Raw genomic sequence first — 25,787 nt, forward strand, 5'->3', positions numbered from 1 at the left:
CATCGAGTATATATTATTATGCACTCAACAGTTAAAATTTCAGGTTTGGGAAGAGTAAACTTTTCCTAATTATTTTGGATACTTTGAATTGTCCCAGTTATACCAGTACTATAAGAACAGACTGGATGGCATATATCTAGAGAGACATAGACTTAAACTACAGAAGGGTGTATGTGGCCAATATTTGGTGAAATATAATTTTGTTTTAATTGTGAATTACATTATTTACTTCTGCTATACTGATGCTATATTATACTTCTGCTATAATGATTTTTTATATTCATTACTAGAGGTTTTTAAGTCTCTGTATCTTCATTGAACACCTCACATTTTTGTCATTTCACGATTGTTCTAGGTGCCTATTGTTTCTAATAGTGAAAGCAAAGTACACATAAATACATAGGACTGAAGGTAGTAGCCAGTTCTAACCCAGGTGTGTTGTTATAGAGAATTACCAAAAAGTTTAGTCTTACAGCTATTTTTTCAGAAGAATTCATGGTCAAATCCAAAATGGAGATAAGAATAAATTAATTTTATCCTTGTACAGAACATATTTGAGAAGTATAATTTTAAATAATTCAACGTTTGCTTTAAAATTTATTGCTTCTTTGTGCTCCAAGAGTAGTGAGGAAAGAAAAATCTGACTGATGTTTTATAGTAGTGAATAATAAGTAGCCCTTTGTTTTTTATGGTGTTTTAAAAATCATTAGTTCTTGACCATGGCTGTTTGGAAAAAATTTGTTTTGACCTACAGAGGTTGTGACCCAAATGGGCAGACTCACTTGTTATGCAGCTCTTCTTCTAGAAAAACAAAATGTGTATATTAAACACTATAGAATACTGAAGAAGATACAAAATACTTTTTATAAATCATCAGATTATTGTATTTGTGGAGATTCTTAAAATTCTGCATTAACATATCAATATAGTCCAAATATTTTGGTCTGGTAAAATGTGGAATTAAGTTACTAACCCCACTTCAGAGGTTAGGAATATATTTATGCAACACATATTATGCACAAATACATACGCAAGGCTCTCTGACCGTCCTGTGAATGATAGCCCTTTGTTTTCTATATCACAGACTTCAGTGGGATTGCAATCTGGCAAAGGAGATGAGGCATGCACAAATACCTATATAATCATAATTCAAAATGACACAATGTTACAAATCTGACTCTAAAGGAAATTGATGGAGAAAAAAATCACCTCCTCCTCTGTGTTTACGGGGATCATGGTGGGAATCTTACAGAAGGAAATGGAATTTGACAATTGAAATTTAACAATAAAAATACTGACGGTGAAAATTAGCAGGGATGGCTTTCAGTGAAAAGCATAAGAAAATATGACTAGGTGAGAAAGTAAAAATGTGTCTGAAAAGGCCAATTATAAAGGTATGTTTTGGTTTGCTTCAAATAAATCATGCATTTTATCAGGGACTCCCTTCTAGCTTCAGAAGATCAGGGCTTGGTCACGGTGTGGCAAATGCTAAATCAATTGTGCCCCAAGGGAAACTCTTAGTGACGACCTTTGGCTTTTACTACTTTAAACTGTTGTTTTATCCTGAATTTACCCCAATAGCAATCTAATAACCTCATAAAATAAGTTATGATGCATTCAAACAATGCATTATCATTTAGCTATTAAAATAAATGAGACATTCTATTAGGTAATGATTACAATTTCCAAGATCATCTTAGGTGAAAAAAACAAGGGGCATTTCCGTATATATAACATTTTATTTTTTCTAAAAGGCGTTTTTATACAAACAATTTGATTGGATATTCATAGAATTGTTCTCAGAGAAGAGCAAAACTACTAAAAGTTGCTGCTTCTGAGAAGAAATCTAAGTTAAGAAATGAGGTGGAATATTTTATGCATAATTTTTATATACATACACTTTAAGCTCTATATTAAATACATAATTTACCTACTGAAATATAACAATTACATGAAAACATTCTATTTGTGGGCAAACAAAAGACAATAGAAATTGCAATGCCAAATTCAGGCAAAATATTTAGGTTGTACCACCAGGATTCAGGAGAGAACAAACCTTGGAATTGGACATTCAAAAGTTGGAAGAAATACTCCTTTGCTTACTGTTTATGTGGTTGTGTCAAGAAATATTTATCTTGCTTTGATCCCAAGCAAGTAGGTGGATAACGAGGTTATGTAGTGTTAAGTCTTATGATTTATCAGTACAAGAATGGCATTGTAGGAATTTTCACAAGGTGAAACTCACCTCCAGGATCAGAAAAGTGAGAGTCAAACAGGATACAGCTTTGTTGGGTACTGTGGGAACTCTCTAAGGTCATGCTTTTTTTTTTTTTTTCCGCTTGGTTTTTCAGAAAGTCTTGGTGGGATCTTCCATGAAATGATAGTGTCTGTTATCATCCAGTCTCTTTCTCTCACTGGCTTGAGGTGATTTTCTCTAGCATTAGGAGAATTAATCCCAGTACTTGATAATTTATCTTCATATTCTTATAATTATTCTCCTTTGTTCCATCAATATTCTCTTTCTTGAAGAGTATGGAAATTTCCAAATGCTTTCACATGAACCATCAAGGTCTGTGGTCCTATTTTCAAAAAAACGTTTTTTCTCCTAATTGCCTATGTATTTTATACTTAAACCTAACCACACTGTGTCACGGGTACCACAAGATGTTCCTTCAAGAAAGCGTATGTCATCACAGAATTCCAGAGGAGTGTACAAGGAAAACTGGGTTTCAGCTTCGATGTTAATCTCTTACACTTGCTATTTCCTGTGATTTATGGCTTTAGCAGTCTGTGTGACTGGGTATTTACTGTGGCTTGTTCTATTACACAGAAATTATGCCTAGAACTTGTAGCCAAAGAGATTCATAGTATAAAACAGAAGAAGAAAAAAAAAAGAAAGCATTTTTTAAAGAGCAGATCAAACTAGCTCTTCAACTGGGTAGAGGAAAGGAATATGCAATGACTCAGAAGAAAAGTAAAATCACTTCTTTTAATGGAGTCAGAACTCTCTCTGCACTAAGGAAATGTAAAGGGTCCTTTGCCTTAGTACTTTTGCAAACCTTGATACATGTGCCCACGATGACACAGGATTGATGGTGTTTGCCCATTTAGCAATGTGGCAGATTGCATTGATGACTTCTACTACTGGCGCCTCTGTATTCACATCATTTGCTTTTGACTTGATAATTCCCTTTTACTTTCATGTAGCACTGGCCTTCTGACACTTTGACCAATAGCACTTGGTTGATGTGAGAACTTTCTTCCTAGTTTGTGTTGGAACCCTATTGTTATCCTGTGAAGTATGAGAGCACCCAGGTTTTCCAAATGAGTGCATCTTAGACCAGTTGACCTCAAACATGTGAGAGCGTGCAATGCAGATCAACAAAATTGCCTTTCCAACCCACAGCTAATTGCAATCACATAATTGAGCCCAGCTGAAACCCTCAACATTACCCAGCTGACTATTATTGTGAGCAATTAAAAATGCCATCAGGATGGAGTCCAGTATAAACATACTCATCCCTCTCACTTTAGTCTCTAACTTCCCTCCTCCCAAATAAGATACTACTGCTTAAACTTCAAAAGCAAAAAAATAAATTAACATGCATTAATATTCTTGAAATTTGAATATGAAATAAAATAGAATATATACTGTGGACAAGAAGAAATATTTAAAATGCTTTGCCTATGCTTCTGTGGCTAGAGATGTGATAGTTCCCTTAAAGTCTGAATGTTTCAAATAGTTAAGCACTTGAATATATTTCATTATTATATTCTTTACCTTGATCTAGTTCAACTTCATTGAGAAAAGTAATTATTGCATTGTGTTTTATACAAAAAAAATTTTATATTGTACTTTCTGGGTGATTGACAAGATTTCACACTTCACTAGTTTTCCTGACTTTAGTTGAAAATCTACAGTATATCCACAGGGCCTATTAGAGTGCCCATCATATAGTATGTGCTCAAAGACTATTTGCTGAATAGAGGAATTTGTGTTAGTAAAGTAGGTAGCTCACTATTTATGACTATAGTATGTGGATAAATAGCAGGCACTTGTAAGTTTTCAGTTTTGCTTCTTTATAAAAATGAGGTGTCAAAATGACTCCCTTGATTAATTGTAAAATCCTGTTCATGCTACACTTCATTTTTTGTTTTCACTGTTTCTTGAATTTATTATTTCTGTCTAATGACAGGAATGTTAATTTGTTACAGCAAAAAACAAATCAGTGATGTTCTGAGGAGAAAAATGTACCAATAAATTGTACTGGTAGCATACATTATTAAAAATATGGTCTTCAGGTTAACCTAGAGATTGCAATTTCAGGTTATAATATGACTTCCCATCAGTTATTTACTTAAAAATGTGATAACAATCCAGCTTTGATTGAAGGACCTTCAGTATGATTCATAGTCTATATGCTTGTATGACTTCTAAAAAGTGCACTTTTACCATCTCAGCATTTCTACTAATTATCATTATACAAGACAATTTAGCTTGGAAAAATAATAGTCTATATGCTTGTATGACTTCTAAAAAGTACACTTTTACCATCTCAGCATTTCTACTAATTATCATTATACAAGACAATTTAGCTTGGAAAAATAATAAATGGCACTGTGGAAGCTACTGAATAATTTTTAAAAGGACTTTATTTTGTTTCCCCAGGAATTGAATAGTGCTGAGAGTTAAAACAAATTTTGGGATGATCATGGTAATAATAAAGACACATAAAGTACTATTCCTTCCATAGAATGTGAACACTGTGTCTCAGGCCAGCATTTAATCTTCTGTATTTTACGGTTAAGGAAACTAAAATAGAAAGGTCACATAACTCTACCTTGCTTGTCAGATAATTAGTTGCAGAGTTGTGTCTTGGAACTCAAGATTTCTGTCCAGAACTTGGTTTCCAAAACATTGCTGGAGATTATTAGTCAGATTCCTTTTTGCCATTTTTCTACCCCTCCATTGCATTGTTTTATTCGCTCTCCCTTTATCTCAATGGCACCAATATTTCTAAACAATTGGCTGAAAGTGTTAATAACTATCTGAAATAGTAGAAGGGACCACAAATGAAATAATTCATCTAAAAATTAGCCTAGACAGGAGAATTGCTTGAACCTGGGAGGTGGAGGTTGCAGTGAGCCAAGATCACGCCATTGCACTCCAGCCTGGGTGACAAAAGCAAAACTGTCTCGAAAAATAAAAATAAAAATTAGCCTTGAGAAATAGCATGATCAATTTGCTCTTGATCTGTAAATTAGATGAAGTGCTCCTTTTCCTGGGTCATATCAAAGGTTTGCGGAAGCTCTGAAAGATTTTCCTTTGCTCCACAAAAATTCTGAAAACATGAGATCCCCAGAAATCTTTGAAATTATGGATTGATTGTATAATTATATTAGTTACCACTGACTTAACAATATATACAATTTAGAAGATGCAGAAACTTTTAGGGGAATTCTTTAGTAAGTTGGATCATGGATCCGTAATCTGGGAAACACAGTGGGCAACTCTAATTGTAAAGAAACAGTTTTTCATATTCATATATCACTGTCAGAAACTTCATTGCTAACAGTGAAAAAAATACAGATAGCTCTGGAAGGAGTGTTTAGAGGGGCATTCCCTCCTCTTCCCTTTCCAGAAGGAACAGCCTATGGACTCAGTAAATAATTTCTAAGAGAGTTATTATTGCCTCTTTCAGAGAAAAATATAGAGCTTGCTGACATATCCACATGTGGTTTGGGCAGTGTTTCTTCTATATTCAGATTCATTTCTGATGATACAATTTCTGGCTTAGACTCTGGCTCACCTATAAGAGACTAATGCCTGGGATAGCATCCCACCTTCCTCTCTCTTAGGCACCATTGCTGTCATCAATTGCTGAAAATACTAGAAAACGCCCACAAATACTCCATGTCCAGGATGACTAAGCTGAGTTAAAAGGAATTTTGTTTTCAGCGGATTTCACTGCACTGCTCCCCCATAATGCACAAATATCTCTGGTGATGTGCAATTGTGGACACTTCCACAGTTCTAAATAATCAGATGCTTACCTAAATGTGAAGATCATCTCTTAGGATGTAGCCTATCAGGTATTCAGTATTTACCCTTCTTATGGATGGCAGCCGCACACATGCATGTTTTCCCTTGGTCACTCTTATTCCAGATGTCATTAAAACCTTTTAGCTTCTAGGTTTATAGTGTTCAGCCACTTCTGTTGAAGTTGCTTCTGCATAAGGAACCCTGGGGAATGAGAGGGCATGCTGTGAGATGTTTATGTTCCAATGTACAGCTTGAAACACATAAAACACAGAATGAAAAGCAAATTATGCACAGTAAATTCTGCCCAACATAAACTAAGCAAGCATATAAGAGAAAGCAAGAATAGAGATCCTCAAAACTCTCGAGGGAGTATCTTGAGAATTTTTTTTCTTCCTTCCCTCCTCCTTTTCTTCCATCCTCCTTCTCTTTCCTTCCTTCCTTCCTTTATAACTTCTTACCTTCCTATCCTCCTTCCCTTTTCTTTGTCTCTCTCCCTTTCTCTCTCTCTTTTTTTATTCTTTGAGACAGGGTCTCTCTCTATTGCCCAGGCTGAAGAAGAGTGGCATGGTCATAGATCACTGCAGTCTCAAACTCTTTGTCTCAAATGATCCTCCTGGTTCAGCCTCCCAAGTATCTGGGACTACAAGCACATGTGACCACGTGTGAATAATTTTTATTTTTTAATTTTTTGTAGAGATGAGGCCTTATTGTGTTTCTCAGGCTGGTCTCAAACTCCCACCTGCCTTGGCCTCCTGAAGTGCTGGAATTACAGGTGTGAGCTACCACAATCGACATTGTCTTTCTTTCTTATTTATCATTTTTCCTCATCTCTTTTTAACTGGAAGTGTTTTTGTTTTGTTTTGTTTTGTTTTTGTTTTTGCAGGCTCTTCTGTCAGTCTCGTCATTATCCTGTTAATTTGATAGTGAACAGATAAAATATGAAGATTACATTAATACTATCTTGGAGTTGGAAAAATAAGTTAAAATGACTAACTGTGCTAAAAGTAAGATAACTGACATGAGAACTAAGGATTTTACTCTGTGACTCCAAGAAAGTCACTTCAACTCCTTGCATCTTTTTTTTTTATATACAAACAGGCACTGCAAATAATGTTCATACAGATTTCTTCCAAGACTAAGTTTCTGTGACTTGCTATGATCAAACTTCTGCAGACTACAGCTGGGCTACATTAAATGTTGGACATAGGGTGGGCAACATAATAAGGCTCTGTCTCTACAAAAAGTAAAAAAAAAAAAAAAAAAAAAAAGAAAAAGAAAAATTAGCTAGACATGGTGGTGTGCACCCAGCTCCTTGGGAGACTGTGGCAGAGGATCACTTGAGGACAAGAGGTTGAGGCTGAAGTGAGCGAAGTTTGCACCACTGCACTCAGCCTGGGTGACAGGGCAAGACCAATATCAAATGCAGCCAAGCAGGGCCTGTTCAAAGGAGAGTAGCCCAAATGGTTATGCAATTTGAAATCATATCCTCAGAGAATAAATTTAGTAGAGAGAAGACAAGACACAGCAGGGCCCTGACTGCTACCTTTAGGTATCTGATATATTTACATATTTTGTTTATTTAGATATTTGTAAATTCAGGTGGAAAAGAGCTAGGTTCACTCTGTATGGCCAGCAGTTGGCAGAGACAGCTAATTACTAAAATACAAGAGTAACAAAGTATGGTTTAATTAAAAAAATTTTTTTGTTGTTTATTAGCAGAACTGTTCAATAAAGGAATTGCCTCTCTTAGGAGGTAGTGAGTTAGTTCTCTGTAACTCCTTGTGCACAAACCTGGAATGGACAATCACTTGGAGGACTCTGGAAAAATGGACTTAAACCTCAGTTGAGGAAAGAACGATGTTGGACTATTTGTTCTTCTGATAATTCCCAATGTTGACAATCAGTTGCCATTGGGATCTTACTACTTTGTGAGTTGAAACATAATCACTTTATATATATATATATTTTTTTATTTTGAAATGGAGTCTCAATTTGTCACCCAGGCTGGAGTGCAGTGGTGCGATCTTGGCTCACTGCAACCTCCACCTCCCAGGTTCAAGCAATTCTCCTGCCTGAGTCTCCCAAGTAGCTGGGATTACAGGTGCGTGCCACCATGCCCAGCTAATTTTTTTGTATTTTCAGTAGAGAGGGGGTTTCACCATGTTAGTCAGGGTGTTCTTGATCTCCTGACCTCATGATCTGCCTGCCTTGGACTTCCAAAGTGCTGGGATTACAGACGTGAGCCACTGCACCCGGCCACATATAATATATTTTAAATTTGGTTAGTTTGTTTATTTCATAACACAGTCTGATAAAGTAACCATTTTAGTAGAATGGACAAGGAAAGAGTGATTTTTTTTCTGCAGCTAAAGTTAGTGGCAGAGTAAGGATTTAGATCCAAAGCCAACTCCTTTGAAACAAATCTAAATCTCATTCCTTTACATTGGAGTAGGTGTGGCTCCAAGGAAAAGTAGAATGGACATCACCTGGTTCTTTTTCCTTCCCTGGGAAACAAAAAACCCTATTTGTTTCTCCACTGAGAGTATCTTTTGAGCATATTTTTGTGTCTTTTCATCTAGCTTTGAAAGCAGCACCTTTCCTTGTTCCCATGGAATGGGTTAATTATAGTGAAAAGAAAACAAATTAAGGAGGGGGCCTGTGGTAACAAGTTGACCTCAACGAAGACCTCTTCGTGAGTCTGATGAAAAGCACAGACTGTGCTTGGTTGTTTCTATTTACATCTCCATCACAGGCTCCACACTCTGTCCTTCAGATGCCAATAATAGCAGGAAGCAATATGGTACAGAATTTTTTAAGAGCTGGAGGATATATTGTTAAATAATGTAGCCTTATATATGAAAGGCAATTCTTTGGAATTCATCAGGGTTGTGGGTTATGAAATCTCATTTTGGCACATTTGCAAATACTCCAGAAAGATTTATCAAACATTCACATGTTGAATTGAGGAGATGTTTTGGCAAGAGGTGTAATAGTCAAATACATTTATTTTAGGGGACTTTGTAAAGTGACTGCAGCCCAATGTTACATTTACACATTGATTTTCACACACACACACACACACACACACACAATGAGATTCTAAAGAAAGAGATTATCTAGTCCGTGTTTTTCTTTTTTTTTAAATAGTGGATAACTCATAAGTTATTTGTAAAACCAATTTAGAGGGTTGAAATCAGAATTTAATAGAGAATACATTAAAATAGACTAGAGTAAAATGTAAATATCAACATGTATTACATCATAGGTTAGATATTTTGTAAATTTCACTTTAGTTACACATAGCCATAAATAGCCTGTGGGTTATCATTTAAAATATATTTCTTCTGTGTCTTGCAGCTAAAAAATTAAAAGTTTAAAAGTGACTTACTCTACTTCTCTTTTTCACTTTGTTCCTAAATACTTTTCTAGAGAAATGTAACCAATACACATGAATTTATTCTTCTGTGACAATGTCATTTAATTTATATTTTCTGGAGTGATGGGTTTATGTCTTATTTAAAACAAGCAAAAATTTCAAGGCACCCATGGTAGGAAATGATAGAAGCATCGAACAACTATCTCTTAGGGCAGGTATTTTTATCTCAATTTGATAATAAGGAAATTAAATTTTCTTGTCCAAAGTCCCTCAACTAGCAAGACTATTAATCAGTATTTGTACTCAAATTTGCCTGGGTTCATCCTACTACTTAAATGAGAATTATTTCAAAGGGTCAAAAATCAGATTCCAAAGATATATTTGCAACAAACTGTGAATTTAAGTTATTGCACTGTAGGTTACTCATTGAACAATTATACCAATTATGTAAATAATTGGTATAATTTTGGTAAATGGTATACGCATCAGGATAGGACAATGGAGTGGATACTAGACAAGGAGGTCAGGGGAGTTTCTAGTCCTAGTTTTTATCAGTGATAAAGACAGCCTGGGAGCATTTTAATTTTTAATATCCCAATATAGTACACTAAGAAATAAATGCCAAAAATATTATTATTTTGACATTAAACATTTACATTTAACAAATTAACATTTCTAACTCCCCCCCCACACATACACAGAGACATACAGGTACAAGCACATAAAATATAAGGCATTTGTGCCATTTACAAGATAACTTTTTGGCTATATAAACAAGTCATAGTACACCACATGTGCACTATGTGTAATAAGCCACAAGTTTAAATATATAAAGTGGCAATCTTCCACTATTCTCTGAGTGTCCCAAAAATTATATGAATAATTTCATTTGATATATAGTCAAGTCTAAAATTTAGACTTCTTTTGAGAATGAGAAGCTTGGGCCAAATACTATGGGTAAAATATATTATGGTAATGTATGAGAGTGTGCTTTTAAAAGTATTATAAAAGTAGTTTAATGAAATAAGTAACCTACAGTGCAATAACTTAAATTCACAGTTTGTTGCAAAAATATCTTTGGAATCTGTTTTTTGACCCTTTGAAATAGTTCTCATTTAAGTAGTAGGATGAACCCAGGCAAATTTGAGTACAAATACTGATTAATAGTCTTGCTAGTTGAGGGACTTTGGACAAGTACATTTAATTTCCTCATTATCAAATTGAGATAAAAATACCTCCCCTATAAGTTTGTTTTGAAAACTAAATATAAAGCACTTAGTATCAAGCTTGGCACATAGAAAACATTCAGTAAGTATCTTCTAAATTTTCCTGCCAAGAACCTGTCTTGCCTTATCTTGGCCTTGAAGAAAAAAAACGTAAATGATGTTTCAATTAATTGTTGCCCAGTCATAATTGACAACATAATGGAGTGGAGAATTGGTCAGGAAAGTTACCAATATATGTAGTGAGTTTTAGACTCTTACTAATTTTCACTTTAGAAGATAAGTTTGCAATTGCACGAAAAAGGTAGGGTGCTTATTGCTTTGGCATAAGTACAAATACACCCCACACTTTCCTCCTCCAATTGGTGATGTATGTTGAGAGGCATTATGCTGTGGTAAGATGAGCAAGGCCTGGACAGTTCCAGAGCTGTGAACATGGTTATCTTTGATGTGCGTGGGTGTAGGAGATGAAACTACAGGGGATTAAAGATGGAAACTTAATGCTATACTTCAAGTACTTTTGAATTCCTTTTTACATTTTCAACAAGCATAAGCAAATTTTATAGTGAAAAAAAATAAGTGCAAGCAGTAGATAGATAACTTCTTTGTAAATTTCAAATTGGACATGCTCATGTGCCTTTACTTGTCCAACTAGAAACTTTGTTAATAGAAGCAAGTTGTAGCACATTGAGATATGCCATGGGCCTGAGGTTAAAACCAAAAGAAATAACATGGACCCTAGGAAATAGGCAGATTACATTTAATTGCTGCATTAGTTTGAAAACTAAATTAAATGCTCTGCCAGATTGTTGTAGTTCCAATAATAACAATGAATATATACCTTATTTATCAAGTGTTTATTTTCAGAAATTGTAAAAGTTCCTTTATTCTATAAAGTGATATCAAGGTAGATTTTTGTGCTGTTATTAATATATTATTAATACTACCTGAAAGTCAGTAGTCTCATTCATAGCTGCAATGAAAAGTAGATAGAATAAAACTAGAATGAAAAGATATTTCTGCATTCCTTTCCTCAAGAACAATAAAAATATAATTATTTGTATTTTTAATGATTTCTTCAGAAACTGTCTTCATATTACTTGGTTATATACCCTCTTTTCAACTGTCATATATTTGACCTTCACTAGATTTGGGTTAGGATTTCAATCCTTGACTTTCCCTAATAAAGTTAGAGCACCATTTTTGTTAATGAAAAATATATTACTGAATTACATATGATAGCATTTTATCCTTTGAGAAGCTGAAAAAATATAAAAGTTAAGTAAGACATACTGAAGTACATGTCAGTTTAATTTCAGTTTTATGGAATTAGTGAACATGTACCCTAGAACTTAAAGTATAATTAAAAAAAGAAAAAAGCTACAAATGATGTTGACAATATGTTTTTATGGAAATGATTTCATAAAACAGGAAATATGTGAAGACAGAGAAATATACTATCTGGCTATATTATTTGTAATGAAATTGAATTTTATTGTTTTCAATTCTCAATGCATTCATTCATTTCTTATAATTTGGATGATTGAGAATAATTGATATGAATTTTTTGCTCAGAGGATACAAAAACATGTAAATAACTATAGATTCCATTATATATTATGTTAAAACTATAGGTTTTATTAAAATACATATGCTAAAAATCAAGCTTACAATATTATACGACTTTGTATTTATATAAAATTGATAACAGCAAAGCCTCTTATACCTAATACATTCCCTCCCCCCCGCCCAAAAAAAAAAAACAGATTTGAGGGCTTGGTAGTACTTTAATTTGACAAGATTTTGAACTTATAAAAATAACCTAAAACTTGTGCTTTGAGAGAAATTTTTGGACAAAATATAATTTTCAATGAAATACAGATATTTGCATTTCAATGCAAATATATAGTCCAGGAAAGCACACCAAATAGAGCTTGAGGTCCACGTGATACTACCACAAACAAATTATTTTATTCATTAGTCTACAAATATTTATTGGGTAGATAGTCTGTACTCAGCTCTGTGGTAGATACTGTGGAAAAAGTGAAATGGAAGCACTTGCTAGCACATGAGTTTTCTCAGATATATACCAAGCCATGGCTCCATAAAAATAGAACATTTCCCCTCATAGAAAGAATATGTTCATATGTAAGCAGAAACTCACAAAGTTATCTATATGGCAAGAGATGAATAGAATATGTATGGATAGCTTTGGTTGAAGTAAAAAAAAAATTGTGTTGTGTTTTTGTTTAATACAATGTTATTTTATATCATTTAGAGCACTGTAGATGGTGTAGTAATTCCTTTTTGTTTATGCTATTGAATGGCTCTGATTCAGTATGAAGATCATCAGTACTGTTCCCTTTGAGACAGGAAGTCTGAATTGCACACCATTAATATCATTTTTTAATGAAAGAGTGAGATTTTAAATCTTCCACACTGACAGATATAGCATACAACTTTAAACAATAACCTATAAAATCCATAATAAGTAATTAAGATATTCTCTGGCTTATTTAACAGTGAAACAATTTATTTTTAGGACTATTCGACCTCTCATAATAATTATCTAATTATCTGTGTGGAACTATGGAAAGACTTAAATAAACACTTTTTATATTTTAACCGTGCTACATTTTTCTTGGTATAAATTTAACATCTTTGACTGAATTGATTCATAATCTCAAATGTTTCTTGGTATCTGTCTCTTTTTTGAAATTCTCAATCTTATTTTTATTCCTGTTTTTTTCTGAGTCTTAGCCTTTTACTTTTTCTCTTCTTTTGAATAATCAATATAATTGATGGTTGGGTTGAATTGCTTTCTCGTATTTGGAATGTACCTTTTTTAAAGGAGACTGCATTATTTGTGACTTTGGAGATTAGTAATTTGAGTTTGTTTGGCTGGAAATTTTTCTCCTAGCTTCAAAACCTGTTACATACTTTTGCTTTTACCTTCAGTCTGTCAATACATGGAAAATTGATGCATACAATTTAAAAATTTGAAGAGGCTGAAGAGAGTATAACACTTGAGCCATTAGCTGGATAAAAAAATGTCCTTTAGAAACACAAAAAAGAAAAATTTAAAAATTCAACATTTTATATATGAAATACTAAAGTGGACATGAGTGGAGTTTTGCAGATTGTACACAATTTCTAATCATAGGCAACTGAAATAAATTTTAACCATTCCCAAGAAAGAGCAGAAATTAATGCTGAAGTAATTCAGCTTGAATATGTAAAACTTTGTTTCTGATACTTTTACAAAATAAAAACAATTTGGTTTCAAGGTCAGTGGAAAGAGTATTAATCTTGGAATTGCTCTGGAAACCATATTTTATTTTCCACTTTGGGATGACCTTGGGCAGCTCACTTAACCTTTATAAATAGACAGATCCTCATTTGCAAGATGACAGATGGCTGTACCTGCACTTTCTGTACCAATGTTTTGTTATGGTGGTCAGTTGAATAATCAGTTAATGCACTTTGTAAGTGTACGACTGCCTGATAAATTAATTATTAAATGAACACTCACTATGTGCCAAGATCTATGCACTTGGACTAGGCTTTTAAGTTTTCTTACAAAATATTGAGTACAGTACTTTGGAAATTAGGTGCTAATCAAAGACTTCATTAATGATGTCTTTATAACAGCAAAAACAGTGAGATATTGATTGGCTGGGGGAAGAAGTTAAACTCCTTTTTCACATATTTATGCTCCATCAGTAATTAACAATATTCATAAAGTTTCAGATCTGGAAGGGACAGATCTGAGAGTTCCAGCAGTGGGAGCTCTGAGTAGTCATCAAGAAAGAGTGCAGACATTGAATTCAGATACACTTGGGTTTAAATACCAGGTGTTATCTCATTTGCTGGTCCAACACTATTTGCTGTGGAAATGAAGCAAGTTCCCTATGCCTAAATTACCACATTTCAAAAAAGGGATGATTATCAATATTGTTGGCTCATAGGACAGTTGTGATCATTAATTTAGCATAATACTTGGCACACAATAAGGGTTCAAAAATGTTAGTTCCTGCCAGTATTTGTTCTTTTTCAACCTCCTCATTTTTAGAAAAGCAACTCAGGTCTAGGAAATTTAAGCAACTTGTCTAAGGTCACAGAGCTGGTGAGTAGGAGTGCTTGCACAGAACGAGGCTCCTGGTGCCAGGGTACTGTTCGGAAAATATGCTTAACATTCAGATAATATTTATTTTAAGGCACTCATTCTCACAACAAATGTATGTTCTATTATAATTGAAATATGTATGTATATATATTATATGCTTTTTTTAGTTTACTGTTTTTATCACTGTGTTTAAGGACATAGATCTAGACTCTATGGTTAAATAAACTAGAATTTGAACAACTTATTTAACCCTTGTAAATCTCAACTTTCATCAATTGTAAAATAATTGATGCTGCTACTGCTAGAAAACAATTACATGAAATTTACCAGGTGTCCAGGCAGTTTTCTGAGCACATTGCATTCATTAATTTATTTAAACCAAGTCACAGAAAATGAAAATAATGGTAAACAAACATCAAATATTTATGCAAATTAAATTAATAGTATTTTAAAAAATATGTATGCAATATTTATGATGTATAGTATATAATAGACAGTCAATAAGTGCTATCTGTTAATACTATTTTTCTTATTTTTGTTTTGGCCTAGCCATGATTTCAAGTGTAACTTCTCAAGTCCTTTTTTTGGATTTTGAATTATTCTCCTAATATTCTGGTGTCTGAGAACAACTTAAACTATATGTATTAAGTGAAAATAAGGAGGATGCAAATAATATATTTTAAAAGATACATGATTTCCAAATATAAAAGTGATTTAATAGCTAGGTATTATTTAACATTTAGAAAAGAAACAAGAGAAGAAAAAATTTTTAATTGCTAATATTGCAACAGAAATCAAACTTTTCAACATTTTATCATCATTTCTAATTATCTTATGCACAATTTAAAAATGCAGCTATATACATAATATTGGATGTTTTTGTTTGCATTTTTTCATTTTACTGAGCATTGTAAGGAGCACATTTTCTCTTGTTATTCATACTTTTTATGGACATTGTTATTCGTGGCATTATAATATCCTATCTTTTCTCCACAACATTGCCAGTTGGGGAGCCCTCAGAGTCTTTTTTATTTTTCACAGTTCCAAAAAGCACATAAAGGAATATAAATATGTGATATTTATCTCTGCATTTAAAAAATCTAATTAAATTAATAACAACAAAAACAAAAATAATCAAAAAGATTAGATTCTTGTACAACTTGAAAATATATTAATAGTTTTTAAGATTTATTATAACGGCAATATTGTAAGTGTTTTAAATAAATAATTGCTGGCATAAAAAGTTTAGGTAGTATAAAAACACTCATCTTATTACTGGCTTAAGAAAGAAAACTTTGTGCCTATCCTTTCCCATGGATAACCCACTTTAAGTTGCTTTTGAAATAAAGTTTTTGTCTTACAAAATATAATTTTGAAGTTTTAAATATATAATGTGTCCATATATCCAGAGTAAGATTTTTACTAAAATTTGTTAGACCTCAACTCTAAGGTAAATCATCCTTTAATCTTTCTTCATAAGTTCTACTCTTAACTCTACAAGTAATTTTTATTTCAACTCTTCCAATAATTTTTTAAATCATCTAATTGGATAAGTTTTCCCCTCCTAGACACATTTATATTTAGAATCATGTTTAGTTTTACTTCCACCATGGACTAGTTAGTCAAATACGCATGTAAACTATAGGGTGTTTGTCCATAGTATTAGAATATTTTACCAATAATTCAGTGTTCTTAAGTATGATAGGGCATAAGATCATAGAATTTTGAATTAGATCATCTGTTCCTAAGATTCTCAATTTTATACTAACTTGAGAACATCAAACAACCCATCTTAAGGACTTTGTTTTTATATATTTTTAGAGAGTTATTCTTTAAATATATGATTACTTTTATTGTCATAGCTAATACTAACTCCTTAATATGTTCCAGCCATTGTGGTTCTATTTTATTTAGTCCTTACAATAATGCTATGAGTTAAGTACTTTTAATTACCATTTACCAGATGAGGAAATGAAGGCACAAAGACATTAAATAAAAGAACGTATTTATCAAAGTGCTCCCTGAGAAAGTCAACCTCACATGGCCTTATGATTGTTTCTGTCTTGCTTTTTCTCCTTTTGCTGGAGAAAATACTTCCCCAGGATGGATGGTGTTGATATTTTGAGATTACCACAAAGCTCTGTAACCACTGATAAAGCCAAAGAGACACAACATATTGTATAAGAAAAAAACCATTTGGGCTCTCTTATAAAGGCCAATCATTCTGAAGACACTTTTATTGAAAAAGAATTTTACTGGAAGAATCAGGGAAGATGTAAAATATCCAAGTTTTATCATTTAGGAAATACATTAGGATCAGCTGATCAAAAAAATGTGTTTCATACTTGCACCCATTGTCATTGTATTATTTTGAAAAAAGATGAATTCTGGTTAATAGATTTTATACTAATGTCATGCTTGGTGTGTTGTTATTGGTGTCAATTTTAGAGTTCTTAAAGAGAGACAATGTCTCCCAGAAAGAAGGAAAATGCAAGAATAACAATGTATAACAATATAACAGGAGTAAAAAAAAAAATATTGTGTAATATAACATCTACAGTTTTTGTTGTCTCTTTTGTTGCTTCCCGTGGCACTGTTTCCCCGGAAACCCAGCATTCCTTAGTGTCTACTACCCAGCTAACCACCTTACTGTGATTATTCAGCAAGGAAGTTTTGTAAACAATTTAGTAGGAAATCTTGAATAAGAGATGTAAGGACTTTTTAATATAAGGCATTTAGGAAATAAAAAGTTTCAGTAGACCTCATCCTTACCATGCGCAACCACAATGACTCCTGTAAAATCTCATTAGGGATGCATCTGGAATAATCAAGTATACAGCATTCTTGTGTTAAGAAAACTTGAAGAAAGCCTCAATAAACTCAATGCTTAAACTTTAACATGTGTAATGTTAATGTTCAGAGTGCTTGTGATAGAAAACTAGAAAAGCATTCTATAGATTTATTGAAATATATGCTATACATATGTATATGTCCTGCTATCAAATTATACCAGAATCTGAAGAACGAAGCACTAGTATTAAGGAGACTTAAGTTTTCTATCAACCTTCTCACTAAGTATGGCTGAGTTAATTTATCTGACTTTGTTATGTCACTAATTATCACAGCTTATTTCCTATTGTATTGAGTGATTCCTTCAAATATTATACTGACAGAATAATCCAAGAAGTTTTTTAACAGTGTTTCTACCAGATAACTTGTAGTTTTCCTTTTCTCATTAACATGTTAAGCTTATTTGCATTACAAATTCTATAATGTTTTGGTTAGAAAAATGCCCATCAGTGATAGACTGGATAAGGAAAATGTGGCACATATAAACCATGGAATACTATGCAGCCATAAAAAAGATGAGTTCATGTCCTTTGCAGGGACATGGATGATGCTGGAAACCATCATTCTCAGCAAACTAACACAAGAACAGAAAACCAAACAATTCATGTTCTCACTCATAAGTGGGAGTTGATCAATGAGAACACGTGGACATGGGAAGGAGAACAAGGAGGGTCTGTAGGGGGGTAGGGGGCTGGGGGAGGGATAGCATTAGGAAAAATACCTAATGTAGATGATGGATTGACGGGTGCAGCAAACCACCATGGCACGTGTGTGTATACCTATGTAACAAACCTTCATGTTCTGCACATGTACTCCAGAACTTAAAGTATAATTAAAAAGCAGAAAAGGTTAATTTAATTTTCTATTACTAACAAAATGAAATCAACCAATTCTTTTAGAGATGTACTGAGGCATCTTTCCTTTTTAAGATCATTACATTGTGTGTTTATTAAGGGTTACCAAACACTTTCGTCATGTGATGTATGGCTAAAAATTATAGTACTTCAAATGTGTTCTGGATTTGTTTTTGTCTTTCTGACAAGGTCTTATTCTGTCACTCAGGCTGAGTACAGTGGCATGATCATGGCTCACGGCAGCCTCGACCTCTCAGGCTCAAGTCATCTTCCTGTGTCAGCCTCTTTCTCAGTCCCTGATCTAGAACTAGAGGTGCACACCACCACTCCTGGCTGATTTTTTATTTTCATTTTTTGTAGACACATAGTCTCACTATATTGCCAAGGCTGGCCTCAAACTCCTGGACACAAGTGATCCTCCTACCTTGGCCTCCCAAAGTGTTGGCATTACAGGCACGAGCCACCATGTCTGCCAAAATTTGATACTTAAATTGTTAAAAAACAGATAATAAAAATTGAGATAAGTGCTGCGTGGATGTTAGTTATAATTAACGAGGATGTAGGCTTCTTGTAGTAAGGGTTTGTCTTAGTTTGTTTTGTGCTGCCATACCAGACTACCACAGACTGGATTATTTATAAATGGAAACGTATTGGCTCACAATTCTGTTGGCTGGAAAGTCCAGTAGCAAGATGCTGGCAGATTTGATGATTCTAAGATAGTGCCTTGAATGCTGTGTTGTCCTCCTGGAGGAAGAAATACTTCATCTCACATGGCAGAAGATCCAAGGAAAAGAGGGCAAATGGGAGCCTAATTCATTCTTTTAAAATGGCATTAATTCTACAAATGAGGGGAGAGCCCTGATGGCCCCATCACCTCCCAAATTCCCACCACCACAAGGGCAAATTTCAACATGTGTTTTGGAGAGGATATTCAGACCATAGCAGTGATATTAAATTTCTTTGACATTGTTCATAGCAGTTGCCATAGTTCTGAGTACATGGAGGTCAAATAAATACATACTGAATTATATTTACTCAATGTTGAATTTAAATATGTTCATATGTCCTAATGAAAACAGAAGTGCTAAATAATATGAAAGTGTTTCCTTTCAGGATTTAGATGTCACGGTCCTATTTTGTAGACTAGACCAGGGTGACTAATTTATGAGAGCTTGGTCAGTACTGCAACCCCAGGGTTAGGATTTTTTACTTAATGTCGAAGTGTGAAAATCAGAAACTTTGTCATAAACTATATTTATCTAATAAACCAAACTTCCTAGTCTTCCTTGTTTCAGTAGCCTGTTTGGCACTGTAACTTAGTAACTAATTCCTTCAGGCTTTGAAAAATATTTGAGTGAGTAAGAAAATGCCGGCCAGGCGCAGTGGCTCACGTCTATAATCCCAGCACTTTGGAAGTCTGAGGAGTGCGGATCACGAAGTCAAGAGATCGAGACCACCCTGTCCAACATGGTGAAACCTTGTCTCTACCAAAAATACAAAAATTTGTTGGATGTGGTGGCATGCACCTGTAGTCTCAGTTACTTGGGAGGCTGACGCCAGAGAATCATTTGAACCCAGGAGGTGGAGAATCGTTTGAACCCAGGAGGCTGAGGCCAGAGAATCGTTTGAACCCAGGAGGCAGAGTGAGCTGAAATTGTGCCACTGCACTCCAGCCTGGCAACAGAGGGAGACTCCATCTCAAAAAAAAAAAAAGAAAGAAAGAAAATGTGGTACGGCTTTGTGGGGGTGGCCAGTGAGTAAGCATCCAATATAAAAGAGAAGGCAAACACCTGGAAAGAAAAACTTGTCTCTGTCTCTTGAGAAGGTGGGGTGAAGCCCTTTTTCTTCTGTCCCATGTACAATCATTTGACCATTCCTTACTTCAACACCTCTACTTTGTCACATGGGTTACTTAAAACATATGAGTTCAATAGGTTGTGAAATACTGTGAGAAGACAGAAATAACTAGTCATAAGATTAATTTTCCAGGTTGACTTTCCCTGTTGCCCTATGGAGTTCTCTTTTCTTAAAAGTATTCCATTTAAAGGTAAAGAAAGAGTGATTAATCTAATATATTCCTTTTCCTTCCTTCCAGCAGGGCTTAGAATATGAGAAATAATAGTAGATTGCATACACTGAATGACTCTCATGTGTTAGTATTTTCATATATAGAATCTCATTTTATTTTCACATTGTCTTACAATGCAGATATAGTTGTCTTTTATAGGAACCAAGGAAACTAAGGTACAGAGAAAATAAGTAATATTACAAAGTCACAGTAAACTTGAGACAAAATTTTACTTTAGATATTTCTGACTCCAAAGACTCTTTCTATTACACCATGCTATCTATATTCAGTGTTCCAAATGCAGATGCTAAAGAAGTATAAAGTGTCTGTATGAAACCCTGACCCTCAATTCTACTCATGGAGTCAACTACTATTGGCAGTTTCACATTAAATTTTCTAATTTTTCTCTAAATTTTTTCCCCTTTAGTTTTACTTTAGGTTCAGGGGGTACATGTGCAGGCTTGTTACATGGGTAAATTGTGTGTTGTGGGTGTTTAGTGTACAGATTATTTTGTCGCCTGTGTAATGTGCGTAGTACCCAGTGGGTAGATTTTTATTCTCTCCCTCCTCCTACCCTCCACCCTCAAGTAGTCCCCAGGGTCTATTGTTCCCTTCTTTGTGTCCATTTGCTTTCAATATTTAGCTCATCCTTACAAGTGAGAACATGTGGTATTTTTCTATTCTTGAGTTAATTTGCTTAGGAAAATGTGTGTTGCCAAAAAGGGCATGATTTTGTTTTTTTTTATGGCTGTGTAGTATTTCACTGTGTATATGTACCACATTTTTAAAATCTAGTCCACAGTTGATGAACATCTAAGTTGATACTATGTCTTTGCTATTGTGAATAGTGCTGTGATGAACATATGCATGAATGCATCTTTATGGTAAAACAATTTATATTCCTTTGGTTGTATAACCAGTGACAGGATTGCTGGGTTGAATGGTAGTACTGTTTTAAGTACTTTGAGAAATCACCAAACTGTTTTGCATAGCAGCTAAACAAATTTATATCCCTACCAGCAATGTCAAGTATTCTTTTTTCTATGCAACCTTGCCAGCATAACTTTTCACAATCCATTTCTTTTCCTCCTTCCCTCTCTATCTTTATATTTTATTAAATCATATTTGAACAAAAATTAAGATTGATTTTTGCACCTTCTTTTCTGACTTAATTTAAAAAACAATAATAATATATCATGAACATGTTTTCAATTCCATCTGATGCATTTTGTAAGCGTAGATCACTTCCAGGTTATTGTGTAGTTCCTATTATTGCATGCTCCTTTATAAAGAGTGTAGAGTATTTTCACTCTCACTGAAGTCTTTAGCAATATGACCTATCTTTACCTTTTCATGTTGTCTCTTGTTGCCATCCTTAGCAACTTCCAAACATAAGTTTGCTGTCCATCTGAGCCACTGAGCTTACAATTTATTGTCAGCCACCAGAGCAAATCCAGTCTAGTGATATCTCTTGAACAGAGTTAAGGTTGCTTCCTGGTAGTTAGAGAAACAAATGGAGGTTTTCTTTTCGGACTAGAAAAGGATGGTTCATAACATTTTTTTCCTTATGCCACTACTCCCACATCCTCACATTACAAGATACAGAAGAAAAAATGAAGCCAATATAACGTGAAGATGACTTTCTAGATTTCATTCTTACCACACCTAATTTTCAGCTTCTCCTGCTAACTAACATTTTATAGATTTGTGGCTCGAGGCGGACATTAAGAAGATATAAATAAATCTTTTTTAGTGGAAAAATTGTCTATTAGTGGTGTAGAGCTCATTTGATTACCTGTCCTTTGAGATATTCACTTGTTTAACAGTCAGTTATGGTTATTTAGAGAGTCTACTATGAAGCAAGTCTGGGCCAAGGTGTAGATAATTTGTTAGCAGACTGTGAAGGTCCAATATTATACTGCAAACCTTGATTCATACTTCAAGCTTATTGGCCAAGGTATTAGATATGTTTTTTCCAGTAATAAACATAAGAATTGAAAATATGTCATTGAAAGTTAGACAAAGTAGAAAATATTTGTTTCCCCAACATTTTTGGCCATAATATATTGTAATAGAATACATATATTTTCTGTTATTTTGATCTTGAGATCTTTGAGCTAAAGAGGCGATACAATATACATAAACATCCCTGCCAGTATTTTATGTTTAATAAGCTCTACCTCAATTGAAAAACTCTATTATTTGAAGCACATTAAAAATGAATTTAATGCCAAAATAAGCTTCTTCGTTAATTTGGTAGATGACCATAATTATTTTTGCTATGAAGATCCTGATTTAAGAGTCTGAAATTAAAGGAGGCTGCAGATAATTTAGTGATGGTGCAGTTGAGGGATCATTAGGCATACTCTCCTCAGTATCTCTGGCATGGCAGGGCTAGCTGTCTGAACCTGTATTTATGCAATCTTTCAATGAGTATCTTTGGGATTAAAAAAGATACTTGGTATCTGATGAATAACTTTATTATTTATTTATTAAGATAGAGTCTCACTCTGTCCTCCAGGCTGGAGTGCCATGGAGATATCAACTCATTGCAACCTCTGCCTCCCAGGTTCAAATGATTGTCCTGCCTCAGCCTCCCGAGTAGCTGGGATTATAGATGTGCACCACGCCCGACTAATTTTTGTATTTTTAGTACAGATGGGGTTTTATCACGTTGGCCAGGCTGGTCTTGAATTCCTGACTTCAGGTGATCCATCTCCCAAACTGCTGGGATTACAGGCATGAGCCACTGTGCCTGGCCTCTGATGGACAACTTTAATATTAAGATCATTATTTTAAAATTTATTTTATTTATTTATTTAGAGATGAAGTCTCACTCTGTTGCCCAAGCTGCAGTGCAGTGGTGTGATCTTGGCTCACTGCAACCTCCACCTCCTGGGTTCAAGCAATTCTCCTACCTCAGCCTCCCAAGTACCTCGGACTGCAGACATGCGCCACTATGCCTGAATATTTTTATTTATTTATTTATTTTTAGTAGAGACGGGGTTTTGCTATGTTGGCCAGGCTGGTATTGAACACCTGACCTCATGATCCACCTGCCTCGGCCTCCCAAAGTGCTGGGATTACAGGCGTGAGCCACAGCCCCTGGCCTTAAAATTTCTTAACTGACCCACTGTAAGGTAAAATACTAAGGAAATGATGAACACACATGGCTGGACAAGGAAAGACCCTGGTATGTCTGGGACTAGAGTTGTGATCTACTCTGTATTACTTTGAGACTACAGAGGTTCTAAGGACCCCAGCAGTTTTTAATCTCAACTTGATAGCAATACTCCATTGATTTAACATTATAATAGGTAGGATGCGTCTGGGAAGTATGGAGAAGAGAGCAGAAGAAGAGCGTTTGGGGGTCACGTTGTGTAAGATGGAAAGCAGAGACAAAAGAAAGGGATAACAATTTCCCCTGATGGTGTATGAAACATTCTTCATCATTATTCTGATATTCTCCATATACCCACACAATGAACGCACGTGTGCATGCGCGCGCGCGCACACACACACACACACACACACACACTTTGCATATACTTCATTCATGCCCCATAATAGTACAGGAGGGTGCAGTGATACAGTAACTTTCCAAGTATAATACATCACTGTTTGGAAAAAACATAGCTGGAAACATGCATGAAAATTACCTGGGAATGTGTCAGAAATACACATTCTTGGGACCCACCCCAGATTTTGTGAATCAGAAACTCTGGGGATGAGACATTTTAAACAGATTTCCTACAAAGCATTTGCTCCTGCATTTTCATTTTTAAATCTAAGACCTAGTTCAAAACCCATTTCCTGCTTGAACCCTCCTCTAGCCCCCTGATAAGTGATCCACTTCTTGACACAGAAAACATTTTATACTAAGGGACCTTATAATGCACTGTCATTTATTGCAGTTCTATTTGAGCACATTTTACCTCCCAGGCCAGACTAGTAAGGAAAGTAAAAAAAGAGTAAAATACTCTTCATCGATCTATCTGTCTCTCTGTCTGTCTGTCTGTCTATTTATTTGAGATGGAGTCTCCCTCTGTCGCCCAGGCTGGAGTGCAGTGGCACGATCTTGGCTCACTGCAATCCCCGCCTCCCAGGTTTAAGCAATTCTCCTGCCTCTACCTCCAGAGTAGCTGGGATTGCAGGCATGTGCCACAACGTCCGGCTATTTTTTTTTTGTGTGTGTTTTTAGTAGGGACGGAGTTTCACCATATTGGCCAGGCTGGTCTCGAGCTCCTGATCTTGTGACCTGCCCCCCTTGGCCTCCCAAAGTGCTGGGATTACAGACGTGAGCCACCGCACCCAGCCTATTCTTTTATTTTTAATCTTGCATAACTCCTACCTTGTGGTGGATCATATTCATATTTAAATAGTTGGTATATGATGAATATGGAGTAAAGGTTCTATAATATCAAAATAGTTGAAGTTACGGTTAGTGTGTATAGTGAATATTGGCTCCTTTAGGCTATAAAAATCAGCTTTCACAAGTATAGAAAGAAAATGCGTGAAATGAGCACTTACTAGAGTCCAGGCGTGTGTTTAGTTAAAATGTAAATGGAATAACTGCTATAAACCAGGCCCCATGTGATATGCTGGGGAAAAATATTTCACCAGCCCCTCCCAGGATACGATCTATCACAAAACTCTGTTGTGTTTTGTTAAGAACGTTTGTTATCATCTCAAATTCTCATGTGGTTTAACTCGTTCTCTTGTTTATTGTCTGCCCCTTTCCCAAATCCATGAGATAGACTTTGTCTAATATATTAACAGTTGTATCCCAAATGTCAGGGGCAGCCTGGTACATAATATCTATGGAAAAAAATACTTTTGAATGAGTGAATGACTTAAAGAGTGAGTAACATTGTGAGGAAGACATTATAACCCCATCATAGACAAACTGAGACTCTGACAACTTAAGTGACATGCCCAAAAAATATAGAGTCTAGAGTTTAAAACTCAATTCTTTCCAATTCTAAAAATTGCATTTCTTAGCTCTACCAGCCATCTTCACATGATTTTTCCCCTTTTAACATATCTGTCTCCATTTTTTTCAAGGGATCATGGGAATTTGAGCTGCAGTTTTTCAGTACTGACTGCCTGCACTTGAAAACTTCTCAAAATTGTACTGAGCTGTGCAGTTAATCATTTTCTTGAGTTGAAATGAATACTGCAACCTTGCATACCACCAGTTCTCCCAATAATTTTGGTATATGCATCCCCAGCTTTTGGAAACTTCCT

At 34.7% G+C, this 25,787-nt stretch overlaps 1 pseudogene across 1 annotated transcript in view; it reads left to right on the plus strand.

The window, feature by feature from the left end:
* GRM5P1 (GRM5 pseudogene 1) overlaps window positions 1–25,787 on the plus strand; it is a 251,892-nt pseudogene that overhangs the window by 18,397 nt on the left and 207,708 nt on the right. The gene's annotated exons all lie outside the window — the stretch shown is intronic.

This window comes from Homo sapiens, chromosome 11 (assembly GCF_000001405.40).
Source record: "Homo sapiens chromosome 11, GRCh38.p14 Primary Assembly".
Taxonomy (NCBI): Eukaryota; Metazoa; Chordata; class Mammalia; order Primates; family Hominidae; genus Homo; species Homo sapiens.